This window comes from Homo sapiens, chromosome 9 (genome assembly GCF_000001405.40).
Source record: "Homo sapiens chromosome 9, GRCh38.p14 Primary Assembly".
NCBI lineage: Eukaryota > Metazoa > Chordata > Mammalia > Primates > Hominidae > Homo > Homo sapiens.
Genome location: NC_000009.12, coordinates 101,566,328 through 101,580,622, shown reverse-complemented (window position 1 = coordinate 101,580,622; position 14,295 = coordinate 101,566,328). Strand labels below are relative to the sequence as shown.

The 14,295-nt window shown below is 41.5% G+C and overlaps 1 protein-coding gene across 1 annotated transcript in view; it reads left to right on the top strand.

Moving 5' to 3' along the window:
* GRIN3A (glutamate ionotropic receptor NMDA type subunit 3A) overlaps positions 1–11,271 on the top strand; it is a 169,296-nt gene extending 158,025 nt beyond the window's left edge. Inside the window, exons 7-9 of the mRNA NM_133445.3 lie at positions 1,263–1,427; positions 2,779–2,855; positions 7,110–11,271. Coding sequence (NP_597702.2) covers positions 1,263–1,427; positions 2,779–2,855; positions 7,110–7,449 — 582 coding nt within the window. The 3' untranslated portion in view covers positions 7,450–11,271. The remainder of the gene's footprint in view (positions 1–1,262; positions 1,428–2,778; positions 2,856–7,109) is intronic.
* The last annotated feature ends 3,024 nt before the right edge of the window (positions 11,272–14,295 follow it).

Sequence of the window (14,295 nt, the reverse complement as noted above, 5' to 3'; positions counted from 1 at the left end):
CTTCTCTGGTCTCACTTTCCTCCTCTGTAAATGAACTAGATGATTTCCATGTTCCCTACCAGATCCAAATTCCAAAGTTACTGAACTCACCATCTTTTTCCCCTTAAATCTACTCATTCTCTTCCCTGAGGGACGTTCTTTCCTTGACAGCTACCAGGTATATTAAATTGTTTCAATTCTCTATCTCTATCTCTCTCAATCTCTAAGAGACCATAAGGTGGTCCAGACCCAGGGCCTTGGCACAACTCCAGGGGCCATTTGCACAGTGGATTAACATACGAATAGCGCCTGTCAACTGAAGAATCATGAGCTTCATAAATTTGGCCAGGAGATCTTTAGTTCTCATAAAGGGTTGCAGCCAGCAGGCCAGCCATCCTGCAGAATGGGAAGCATAGCCTCAGCAGAAGCTGAGAGCAAGCACTTCAAGGGAGGGGTAAAAGGGAACAGGAATTTATGCTGAGTGGGGTGGCTGAGTATACGTATTGAGTAAGCTATAGGAGGAGTCATAAATATTTATGAAAAGAGATACATGCACATGTGCAGTTGAGCTTCATGCCTCTTCCTGGGCCCATGTTCAAAAAATGGTGGTGTTAGCATGACCCGAGGGTGGAGATTTTGGTCTTCTGATGTCCAAATGTGAAGCAGAGGACATGAAAACCCTCACTATGCATCCCCCACAAGTTGGCCAAAACCATCTGGAGATTGTGGTCATTTTTTAGGAAGGGTGCATTGGGAAACTGGTGAGCTGTCACACTGAAACTGCAAAGAGGGAGGGAGAATCTGGTTATGGCCTTAGATGATTAGCTAAAGGTGATAAAGCAATGAGTTATCGGTTTCTTGTTTTCCAGAGCTAGCTTTTGCTTACTTCTTAAGAATGAATTATGGCTAAAGGTTAATAAGGAAGGGACAACTGAGGCATGACAGACCTCCCATCCAATCAAGGCCAGGAACTCAGTTTTTAAGGTTTCTTCGGGGTCCCCATGGACAAGAGAAAGTTCGTTCAGTCGGTTGGAGAGCTTTTAATTTTATTTTTATTTCTCACCCTCTAGGCATTGGGTGCTCCTCGGCAGCCCTCAGTCCAACCCTGGCTGAATTTCTTTCATGATGTATAATGAAGGTCACAGAACACACAGGGAGAAATAGTCTCCAGCTGTCCTTGAGTCCAGAAAAAATGAATATCCATCTGAAAACCAAAGAGTACACAAGCATTGGGCCAGGTATATCATTGTATTCATGGCCTTTTCTTTCCTATTCTGTCACAGACTTTGCAAATGGGCATCAAACACTTCTCTGGGCTCTTTGTGCTGCTGTGCATTGGATTTGGTCTGTCCATTTTGACCACCATTGGTGAGCACATAGTATACAGGCTGCTGCTACCACGAATCAAAAACAAATCCAAGCTGCAATACTGGCTCCACACCAGCCAGGTGAGTGCCACAGGTGTCTTGCTCCAATATTCTTAAACTGTACAATTCCTAGGGATGGGAGGATCCAGAGCCCTATGTCAGACTACTAAGTTATGTTACCACAATAACGAGGGTGGGGTAGGCACTCTCATTAGAGCAGAAGGAATTCTCTCTATCCCATTAATTCACTTTTCCCTTAAATTAAGGCATCCCACAGTGCTCCTTCCTTTCCTATAACCCTCCACTGTTGTTCATAATAGAAGAAATAGAACTTTTTTAACCAGGTTTCACTTAATAGTGACAGTCTGAAAAGATGGTGTGAAAGATTTATTTCCTAGGTTCTTTTCTTGCCAAAATTGAAACCTATTACGTGAGTTTAAAGTCCCTGGTCCCCTTTAAGTGACCCCACTTGCCCCTGTTCTCTCTGCTTTTTCCCTGGTCCAGAGGGGTTTGAGACCCATTGGGGCCAAGGCCAAGCTTCACAAGGCCGCAGTTCTCTCCTGTTACCTAGACATCAACGCACTGATTTACAGGGAGAACTGAAACTGTCAAGCAGACTGGTGACTCAAGCACACTCGTTTGCATATCTCTCCCTGAATGAAATTGGCATGGAGACCCAAAATATAGTCAGAAGGCTTCATAATGATGGAAGAACTCTAACAAAGGGAGTGGTTTCACTTGACCACAGCAAGGCTGGATGAGCCATCCTGGCCTCTCCTGTGGTGAGACCACCTCCTGCCCTCCAGTGTACCATGGATTACCTCCCAGCAGGGAGGCTGTCACTTCTGCATTTACCCTATTCATGTATTCATATACCCTCATACTAAACTCCTCACTTTGGTAACACTTTTTTTTTTTCTAGATAGGTTACTATCATTGGTTTGGTTACAGTTGAACCCTGTTCTTCCTACTTTTATCCTGGGAAGTATTTGGTCTTCTAGGAGAACTCCACAGATCTTCCTTATTGTATGCTAATATGATTAACTTAATTCTCAAGAGTCCTCCTTCCCTTCTTTGTTTTGGTTGTCAATTAATTATATACTTTTTACTCATCTTTAGCAATTATGGAAGGCCTTTTGCTACACATTAGTTATGATTGTGCCTCCTTATATCACATACCGTTTTATAATACTGAGCTTTCCATCAGAACACTTTTTTGTTTCTCCAGGTGGAATAATAACCTCTAATTAGAATTTTTGTTCTGTTGAGATTTGAGGCTGAATGTTGATCTATTTTTAGGCATTTCTGGAATTTGTTTAAAGAGGCCAAGGTTTGTAACGACTACATATACTGTTACATCTCAAGTGGTTCTTTGTTCCCTGACCTATGTGTTTCTCATAATTTCTACCTGTGAATCTGTTTTCTCCATCAGAGATTACACAGAGCAATAAATACATCATTTATAGAGGAAAAGCAGCAGCATTTCAAGACCAAACGTGTGGAAAAGAGGTAAGAAGGGGCCAATGGCAACTGTCTTTATATTTGTAAAATAATCTTTAGAGATCTAACTGTATAATTATTCAGATCAAATCAGGGCAATTTATCAAAAGAATCAGTATAAATAGAGGGAAATAAAACATAAAATAAAAAATGTATATGGACACTAAAATGCAGTGTACACAATATACTGTCATGGTTAGAAGTGTAGTCATGGACTCTAGGATCAACCCTCTGGATCCAAATCCTGTCTCCAAGACTTATGATATGTGTTACTTTGTGTAAGTCACTTATTTAATCTCTCTGCACCTCAAGTTCCTCATTTGTAAAGTAGAGATAAAAACAGTACCTATTTCCTAGAGTTGTTGTAAAGATTAAATAAGATCATACATGTACATCTCTGAATGAAAGGAAATGCCTAATAAATATTAGCTATTATTATGTACAAAATACATGTAAGAATTAATGAATACCGCAGGCAATTAATTCCATGTTTTACTGTCTTTTTGGCATATTTCCACTCCCTACTCCTTTCTAGCATTCCTAGGAACAGAGTATTGGAAATATGAAACAGACATGTCATGCCTAATTCATTTCCTGGCACTTTTCTACAAACTCCCTAGCAAAGAGCATCTTATTAATAGGAAATAACAAACATTAAATGCATTAATGACATCTGAAAATCGAAGCTCTTCACTCTCACCACACCAGGCTGTGGATGACTGTTCCCTATTTCATGGTGACTAAAGATGTCAGAAGCACTTGGGTCTGGTTCCTGGCTAGTCTCTGCTGCCTGCTGCCTAAGGCAACCCTACTGATTCTTTTGTACACCCAGAGGCCTCAGATGAGGGCACACCTCTCATCATAACAGAAGAAAAAGGGATGGAAAACAGGATTCTTTTTGTTTGTATCTTTTCTGGGACTGCTGCAGTCCCCTTCTATGCAGTCTCCATCTAGCTTGTTGGAATCATTTCCTTTATCTCTTGAAGTATCTCTTTCCAGTCAATGAGCACTCTCCCCTCCCCTCTCAGTCTGTGGTATTCCTGCATCATATTGCAAGTGTGTTAGTGACAAGCTGTATACTAGTCCAGTCACAGCTGTTCCATGACATGTTACATCTATTTTTTCTATTTTTAACATAAATTTTTAATAACAGTAACACAAGAAGACATAGCAGCAAATGTATCATCTTACAATGAAAAAATATTTGTTTTCCAGCTATAATAGAAACAGGAAGCCCAATGATCCCATCTCCAACTGTGATATGATTCATATTCACATCTTTCTCACATAAATTGAAAACCATTTGTGTCTTTTGATGCAACTTACCCAGTTTTCTTGGCAGATTCCCTTCCTGAACCCCTTATTTTGAGGATCTAAGGAGAACAGGTGTTCATGGTTTAGCTTGGGCTCACATTTCCTGTGCCTACCTCTATACAACCCAACATTAGCAACCTGTCAAACACAATGAGTGTTTGGCGTACCATAGCCGTCATGTCTCTTTGGAATAGTCCAGTGGAGTATTGAACCTCAGTGTTACATAATTGCTCCAGGGAAGCCTATTTTACCCATTTTTAGTGTTAAATACAGCTCACTCACTGGTCATGTAACACTCTAAGACTGACGAAGGCTTGAATCAAAGCAAAGCCTAAATGTTACTGAGGCTAGGAGTATAACACCAGCCTTGGGTTATTTTTTCCAAGTAGACACTGAGTCTTACACTCAGCATTTGTCACCTTGCACTCATAGGTACCCACATCAAATATCAGATGCCTGGTGATACTAGCAACTAGAATTTGGCACAAAGTCCAGCATTTGTTTATTCTTCTATATTATATTACCAGATAGATATACAAAGCTCTGGAGAAGACCAGTCCAGCTATCTTTACTTACCTTATCACTGTGGCTGTCTAGACAGTTGAAGAAAATGTGTAGATGCTCTACTCTCAGGTTTTCCCTGCTATGAACCATTGTAGGGCATTAGAATGCTCTCCCTCTCTTCTCTTGGAAGTATATCTATGCAAATGCTCATGCATGCTACAACTTGACATCCCTCCTCTGTGCCCCATATTTACTGAACAAATAAAAGAGCAAATAGATAAATGAATGAATTATTAACATGGGTTTGAGGAAATGCTTGGAGAAATTTTGGGCCATGATATGGAAGTAGGTATTGTCCCTTTCTCATTTAATGCAAAGAAAATAAGGTACATATTGCAGGAGATGATTTATATATAGCCCTGGGTTTATTCAACATGTGATTTCACATAAGGTTTTGGTCTATCTTTCATCTCACTGGGTTCCCAATCAATACATGTCACCCCTGTTTTCCCTTTCCTCTCACCCCAAGACACACAAAAATTACAAACTACATAACAGCACAACCAAGATTACTTTAAGATTATTCAAATTCAATAGGAAAAGATTTGAAGAAAAAAATTAAAGGGAATTATAAAGCTAGAAGAAAAATTACATCTCCTCTCTGACTCAGGTCTAAAGCCAATGGAGCTATAAGTGGGTTCATTACAGAACTTTTACCCAGCCCAGGATACAAGAAAACTGAGCTCTGGTACCCTCTGCTCATTTATATAAAACTTAGACTATGAGGCATGTTAAAGAACCACAGGGTGGTTTGGAGTGTGTGTTTCAATGGCTTGGGTCATGTATAAGTTGGTCTTTGCTATGTGATAAATCATCCCAATACTTAATGTTTTAAACAACAGCAAGTTGCTTACTAATTCATGGATCAACTGTGCAGTTTGCTGATCTGAGCCAGACTTGGCTGAATTTGGCTGGGTTTGCTCATATGTCTGTAGCCAACTTTGGGGGATGGGGAAAGCAGCTAAGGGCTGTCTGGTCTATGATGGCCTCAGCTAGTCAACTGGGAAGCCTGAGGATTCTCTCCATATGGTCTACCATCATGCAGCAGGCCATTCTGGACTTGTTCACATTGCAGCAGCAGGGTTCCAAGAGAGTGGAAATGTGCAAGACTTCTTAAAAGTTTAGGCTTGGAACTGCCACTCTGATATGTCTGCCACTTTCTGTTGCCCAAAACAAGTTGTGAGAACACTCCTAACTGAAGCGGGGAGGAAAGCAGATTCAGCATAGGTACAAGCTGCAAAGTCACATTACAGAGGGCATAAATGAAAGGAGAAAAGAAGGTTTATGGCCACTTTTACATAAAGACTTTATTATTCTTCTCTTTCCCCTTCTCCTTCCAGATTGTCCCCTTCTCCTGGCAAGTAAGAGTCCAGGAAAAAAGTCAATTCAGTTACATGAATGGGAACAAAAACACAATGGCTTGGTAGGGTGTTTCTATTTAGTTTTGTCCTGTGGTAGATTGCAAAAGTTGTCATAACCCTCCTACTCCTCCTCCTGCTTCTTCTCCTATGGTGGAAAAAATCAGCAGCTATGCTGCTTAGGGCTCTAATCTATTCTTGTAGTGAGAAACTCTCCTTATCTCATAAGTATCAAAGTGTATTTCAGAAACAGGATCAGCCTTCCCCTGTGACTATTTGGCAATAATTCTCATGCTGTCTATAGCCATCTCTCCATGATGGTAGTAGGTGATACGATGCAAGCCTAAAACAGGATTGCAAATTGCTTTCTATATGACTTTCATTATCCCAGCAAGAAACTGAGGGCTTTCTCGGGATTTTTTTAAGCATCGGACCTGACCTGTCATTCTCAACTCACATAAAAATCATCCCTATAGTAAGAAACACTTTGCTGAGACCTGTGGCTTATATGCTTTTTTTCTCCCCAAGATCAAGTAGTAAACATCAGGATGGTCCTGTGGGACTAAGGATGAGCCATGTTATGAGATCTGTCAGCAGGTTGATGCTCAGAACCCAACAAGTGAATAAATAGATTTTGCTTTTATTAAAGCATCATCTTTCAAATCATCAAACGTTTCAAGGTGTGGCTAGTTTCTGAGCTTCCCTTGCAGAAAGGAAATTAAAAGCCACCTGAGGTTGTTTGCAAAAAAAAAAAAAAAAAAAAAAAATGCACCATACCCCATCCTATCATCCCTTCAAATGACACCCAATTCCAGTTTCAGAGCAGCATGGGACTTGAACTTTTGTATGTTCATGACTCTTTATTGCCCCATGACACCCTAGCAGGTAGTCTGTCCATGGCTTTGTTACTTCATCTCTAAATGCACACCCAGCTCCATATTATTGCACAGGAAATGGCTAACAGATGAAGACAGCACCTTGAGAGCTGCAGAATGGAAAGTAAATCTAAAATTTCTCTGTTTCCTAGGTCTAATGTGGGACCCCGTCAGCTTACCGTATGGAATACTTCCAATCTGAGTCATGACAACCGACGGAAATACATCTTTAGTGATGAGGAAGGACAAAACCAGCTGGGCATCCGGATCCACCAGGACATCCCCCTCCCTCCAAGGAGAAGAGAGCTCCCTGCCTTGCGGACCACCAATGGGAAAGCAGACTCCCTAAATGTATCTCGGAACTCAGTGATGCAGGAACTCTCAGAGCTCGAGAAGCAGATTCAGGTGATCCGTCAGGAGCTGCAGCTGGCTGTGAGCAGGAAAACGGAGCTGGAGGAGTATCAAAGGACAAGTCGGACTTGTGAGTCCTAGGTGACCACACTGCTTCCCTTTCTCAGTTCCTGACCTTCCTCTGAGCCCTTGAGACACTTTGTAATGCTCTTTTGTAACTATCGACAAAGGTGTGGGGAAGCTGAGGTCTAGGTCTTCTTAAAGGTCAAGTCTGCTCTCCCTCGCCTAAAGTGCAGCAGCAGCTCCTCTCAAGCTCACTCTCTAGGTCTCCAGGGTAGGAGTGTTTTTCTAGCAAGAATCTTAGTCAGGAGTAAGCTCTGTGCGAGAGATCTGTGAATAACCAGATAACCCCAGCTGCCGTTAACCTTTTCACCAGGTGCCACAGTAATATTTCTGGTTTTTAGCCCTTTCTCTGCACTACCAACAAGAGATAAAATTGTTACTCACACTTATGTCTTACTGGGTTGCTGGTTTTCATCGTAACACAGAACGAGGTTATCTAGGGTTGTAGCTTTTGATACAACTCCCCGATCTAGATTTATTCCTACATTCTGAATGGGGAGCAGGTAAGAGCAGAGCACCTCCCACTGGGGGTGGGGTATTTAAAAATTAACTCATTAGTATCATAAACGTCAAGGATTGATTGGACCAGGCAAGAGCCATGTTTTTGAGAAGGTTCTGGATCTCTGACTCCATCCTGACTGTTTAGTAAGAGCATGCTTACACCCTACTGTGAAAAGGGGAGGGGATGTGGTAAGCGGAAACAGAAGACAGGCAGCAGAGGCATTAAAAATGCATACCATGCTTTCAGAACAAAAGCTCTGGGCCAGAAAGGCAATTTGGCTAAAAAATGAATAAGACTACTTCTAATGTAACTAAGCATCTCCACTATGGTGTGTGCCTTTTATAAAGGAAAAGAGAGAAAAAGGCAAAGCAAGGTTGTGGCCTTAGGTTGGACCTGGAATATCCCTTATTGCCTATAATGGAATATGTGACACTGTGGGTGAAATGTTCTACACACCACACACTAGGCCATTTTCAGATCAGCAGTCACCCATCGCTTAGCATAGAAATCCCAAAACCTCCAGCCCGGGAACACTATAAGCTTCGACCATTCAGGAATCTGCCCTGCACTTTGCATATCTGTATAGAAAATCAAGTCAATCCCCCATCCTCACACCCACTCATCTCTGAGGAGCTATGAACTGGTTTTGGTCCCTCTAATGATCCTCCAGCCTCATCTAATGCCCCCCAAAGACTGATACAAGTAACCTCCCCTCTGCTTAGGTGTCACTTTCTCAGCATATCAAGTTTAGGCAGCAAGGGAAAGGAATATGGGTCAGTTCTCAAATGTCAATGTAGATAAGAGTCATCTAGTAGAGAACTCATCAGAGTGCGGATTGCCAAGACCCTTCTCCAGAGATTATGGGGTTGGGGGTGGAGGTCTAGAGGTGAGCTCAGAAACCTACTGTTAACCAACACCCCCAAGTGACTGACACAGGTGGTCTAAAAATTACTTTTCTAGAAACACCATTCTGGAAGTTTGGCTGCCCACAGGCAGGAGGAGAAGCATGAAGAGAAAACCTGTTTGAGAAGTTTTGTTTTGTTTTGTTTTGCTTTTTAATAATTTTAGCACACATCTGCTGACTCTCCTTCAACATCCTCACCCCCACCCCTGGGCACCATTTAGGACAAGACTTCCTTATTTATCAATTACTTGATTTATCTTCTCAGGACTCATTGTTCCACCCCCAACCAATTTGAATGCCTACAATAAGTTCAGGAGCTGTGCCAAGCACTTTCCTCTTTTACAGCTGGAGATCACTGGAAAGGTGTCTCAGTCACAAAACTTCTCCCTCTACTACTGGATGAAATGTCTGCATTTCCACCAAAATCTACCCAGTCACCCAGGGAATAACAACTTAAGCTGTAGTTAGATAACACCTAGTGATTAATTGGCTGAGAAAACCCTGGAGTGGAGGGAGGCTCAGAGATACTGATATGGATGTGGGAGGGCTCTAAAGTTAGAGGTCACCAACTCCACAGATGAAACAGTTCAATAATGAGGAAACAGGTGAGCCCTGAAAACACAAAAGGACAGTTCTGTGTTGAAACACCCCATCCCCTCACGTTCTCACCCCAGGCCCAGAAGTAGGTTGCAACTGCCTTTGGAAGATTTTGCCCCTTAGCCATCCCCACCCACTTGTACCAGCTAAGAATGCTGGAGACTCTGCCACCATGCTCTGCGTGCCCCTGAACCTCTGTGCAGCCCGGAAGGCTGATGTACAGGTGTACCTCAATCCACATTACAGCCATGCTCCTAATGTACATGGACATTTTTGTAACTCAGCTCATATTCTGACTGTATTTGAGAAGCTGGCTGTTTAAGGGAACCCAGAAGTGAATTCTTTTGTAAAGTAAAGCACCCTTTTGTAATGCAATTAATTATCCCTTAATGTATCTGTTTTGTAAGTCTGCATTTTTGTATATCGGATTTACCTTAAGCTTCTCTAGTGAGGCATTCTGAGCAGTGGTGATCACATGCCAGATCGCCCTGCCTATCCACAAAGTAGATGACCAATGCACGCTCCTCAAACATCTTTGGAGGAACTACCTGGCCAAAACACTGGCCAGGATGCAGCAAGCAGCAGCAGGGGCTGACAGCAGGCTTACTGCCATCAACATTGCTTGAAATGCCTCTATGTTCTGAATAAAGAAAAACCATAATTGCTTGTGGTGAAACGAAGCAGTCTTCATGTTAAGTAGCAATGGTTATTTTTATTGGTAGTAACTGAACAGTGTTTTGCAATTTGTGAAACAGTGTATTGTGTTTTGTAAAATGATGTCATGAAATGGTGGGTCCTTGGAAACCTCCTTTCCGTTCAGCTCTGCCTCTGTTCTTTCAACTCCTTTGAGGCTCAAAAAAAACACAAAGATCAGAAGCCTTCAGATAGAGGGTGGTATTCTGGTAAAGAAGAAAGAGATAAGGGACGCTACCTTGCTTTTCTGGCACAGGAAGCACATGATAAAGCATGCTCAGATGAGCTGGAACAGATATAGCTACCTGGTTCGTGTAAATAAGAATAATCAAGGCCCCAGAGTGTGTATGCTTCCAGGTGGAGGAGAAAGGGGAATCTCCCAAAATTTAAAAACAAATTGGAAGAATAACCAGGACAGCCAAGTGAAGCAGCCACAGGGACCCAAGCAGTCGAGGTCTTTAATGTGCCTGGAGATGACTCTCTGCTATTCATGAATCTTGCTATTGCACAAACCCTATCAAGAGCTGCTGCTTCCCTTCCAGCCAGAAAAGTGGTAAGCGGAGCAAGTGCCAAGCAGAACAGACCTTATCATCTGGGTAACAGACTTCTCAGTGTTGGTGCTGTGTCTGTTAGAGCCTTAGAGCAAGTTAAGCACTTCCTTGGTGTGGGTAAAGAATAAAGGGGAAAGAAACTACTTTAGAGCCTCTTTTTCTCCCAACTCATATTTTTGATAGGAAAAACAGAAAACCCATCCAGTTCTTCAGAAATTGCTTTCTAGGCATTAATACTACTTTACTATCTATACTGTTTAGTTATTCCTTTCTTTACCCACCTAAACTATCCATCTAATCCAGGATTCCCTCACTCTTTTTTTTTAGTTACTAATCATTTTATGAAAATAATGTATTTATAAGTATTTTCTTAAGGTTTGTGAAGAGTATTTGCATTGTGTCTTCATTTTAATGTGTTTGCAATCGCTCCGCTCCAGGAAGAACGGAAATGCTGTCTTGTGAGCATGAAGTGAACGGGCTGTTTTGCTCCAGCCACTTTTCTTGTACAACCACATGGATGGATTAGATGTCCTCAGGTCTTTTCCATCTTCAGTTTCTATGACTGTGGAATAAATGTTCAGATAGAAACTTCACTTTTGGATGTACTGCTGGCTTTGTCTTTGGGGATTCAAATGTTGACATGATACCAGTTCCTTCTTAATAGGAGACCCATTAATGCTATGATTTATGCTTATTTCCTTGCTATAGTCCAAAGAAGAAACACAAGATATGCTGAGAAATCTCAGAGCTCAGGCATCATGAAGTAGAACTGAAATGGCTTCATCTGAGATAGACATTCCAGGAAAAAGCACAAGTTCAGAGGTCTCTAAAATCCTGTACTGATCACCCTCATCAGTAATTCGACAAACATTTGCTAAACAGCTTCCATGTACGTGCCAAGTGCTGGAGACACAATAGTGAAGAAGATAGGTATGGTCCCTAACTTATGACCTTTTTTCTTTTTTTTTTTTTTTTTTTGAGACGGAGTCTTGCTCTGTCACCAGGATGGAGTGCAGTGGCATGATCTCGGCTCACTGCAACCTCTGCCTCCCAGGTTCAAGTGATTCTCCTGCCTCAGCCTCCCGCCCGAGTAACTGGGACTACAGGCGCCTGCCACCATGTCTGGCTAATTTTTTGTATTTTAGTAGAGATGGAGTTTCAACATGTTGGCCAGGATGGTATCGATCTCCTTACCTCGTGATCCACCCACCTCGGCCTCCCAAAGTGTGGGGATTACAGGCATGAGCCACCACGCCCACCCTCAATCTGACCTTTTTACAACCTATAAACAGGTAATACTGTAACAACTAACATATATTGGGTACTTATTATAAACCATGATCTCATTTAATCTTAACAACCCCACAAGATAGGCACTATAGATGTAGTCTTAAGTAGGTAAATGAGACCTCCAGTTTACAGATAAAAAAACAAGAGTCAGAGAAACTATGTAACTTGCCCAAGGTTGCAGAACTAGTAATAGTAACAGAGATTTGTACAACCATACAGGATTCCGGTCACTGCCTCACAATTTTCTATTCTTCCTTGAATCCCCTTTTAGTCTTTCTGCCTTACTGCTTCTTTCCCATGCCTCGGCCTGGCCCCTAGCTCCACAGAACAGAGAGAGAAGCGGATATTGTAACTGCACCTTCATTGGTCCATTTAACTCAACACTGTAATACCTATGTCTCATAAAAATAGCATTTCAGCATCTTTTCTTTCTGCTTTCTAGCCCAACCAAGAACTGATGCAAACACAGTTACAAATCAGCAGCAGCCCTGCAGTCCCAGACATATGGGCAGTTTCTGATAACCCAAGCAGTTTTAGCTGCAGGCAAATTTGCCTTCATGAATCTGCTAGCCTGTTGCCTTCTTCACACACATTCTTTCCGAATAGAAACAATCAAATCTCATGAAAATGTAAATCCACTATAACTTAATTCAACTACCTACTTACCTAAGGGTGTTTTTGCATTACTCAATCATTCATATTTTGGATGCCTATTTGTACCCAGGCATTGGGGCTAGTTGCTGGAAATAGACAGATAAAAACAGCAGATTCTGATCCCATAGAGCTCAGTGTAATGAAAGGACACAAACTGACATTTTATGGTGTGTACTCTAATAAGGAAATGCACAACGGGTACTATTGGAGTGAAGAAAACACTGTGTGTATGTGTGCATGTGGGTGCAGGTGTGTGAGGTGAAGAGACTCAGTGGAGGGTAACAGGCAACTAAACTAAAAGAAAGCATGTACAAAATTCCAGATTAGGGAAACCATGGCAATCAAGAAACTGGGACCTTCAAATCATTTAATATAATAGAAACACACAGCTTAAGGTGGATGACAAACTATATGAACTGGAAAGAGAAAAGCAGAGGCAAGATCACTTGTGCTAAATTGGATTTGTGTCCTGAAGACTACAGGAACCACTAAAGGATTTTAAGCTGAAGAGACAACTAGTAAAAGAACAGGATCCTCACCACCAGGTGGAGCTGGATGTCACTCACATGCATTTTAGTTGTAGGACAGTGAGCAGATAAAGTTAACTTTTTGAAGTTTTGGAATGAGTTGGCCATGACATCATTTACCAGGACAGGCAGACTAGAGACAGACAGACATGGATAAACGTGTGTCTTAGATTTCAGGGAGGATGTCAGTGTTTTGTTTTGTTTTGTTTTTTTCCCTAGAAATAAGAAAATGTAGGTGGAAACGAAAGTTGATCTATCAATTTCTTTATTTGCTCAACAATTATAAAAGTTAGCATTTGCTGAGCATTTACTAGGTGCCAGGCGCTGTGCTGAATGTCTCCTGTATGATGATTCATTTCATCCTCCATATAACCCTATGATGTAGTTATTATTTTATAGATGAAGAAACTGAAGCATAGAGACATGAAGTAACTTGCTAATAAGTAGCAGCACCATACGCAGGCAAGTCGGACTTCATGAGAAATATATTTAACACAATGCCTGGAATCACAATAAGCACTCAGCAAATGCATATGATTGGGAGAGCAGGAAGAAATCTAAGATCCCTTGATTCAATTCTACTCTACAACAAGGTGCTAAAGGAACTCAGTGAATTCAGAAACAAAATGTAGTTCTAATCCAGGGCCTGGCAAAGAGTCTAGTTAGATTAGAATGATCAAGGATAAGTATAGTAGGTATATGTAAGTCTTTAGAAGACTTCAAAATGACTCAGAAAGTATTTTCACTTATTGTCTACCTGATGACATGTACTCTATTAGTACAGGTCTCCGATTGGGATAAAAGAACAATGGAGTTCTCATAGTAGCATTTCAATCCTGTGGCTAACCTGAGTGGCCCTGGAACCTATTTCCTCACTTCTAAAATAAGGACATGGTCTGAGTTCCCTTTCAGCTCTAATATCCTCAGAGCATATTATTATTATATTAATGTGAACATAGCTTCCCTCAAAAAAAAAAAAGGTTAACTTACAATAAATGAAGCTTTTATGCAGGTTTCCGTAGCGTAGTGGTTATCATGTGTGCCTTGCAGTAAGTGAAGTCTCAGCTACATGAGACTCAGCAGTCTCATGAGCTGCCACTACAGAAGTGTTAGTTTTAGAATTCATAATAATTCCTTTTATTGCCA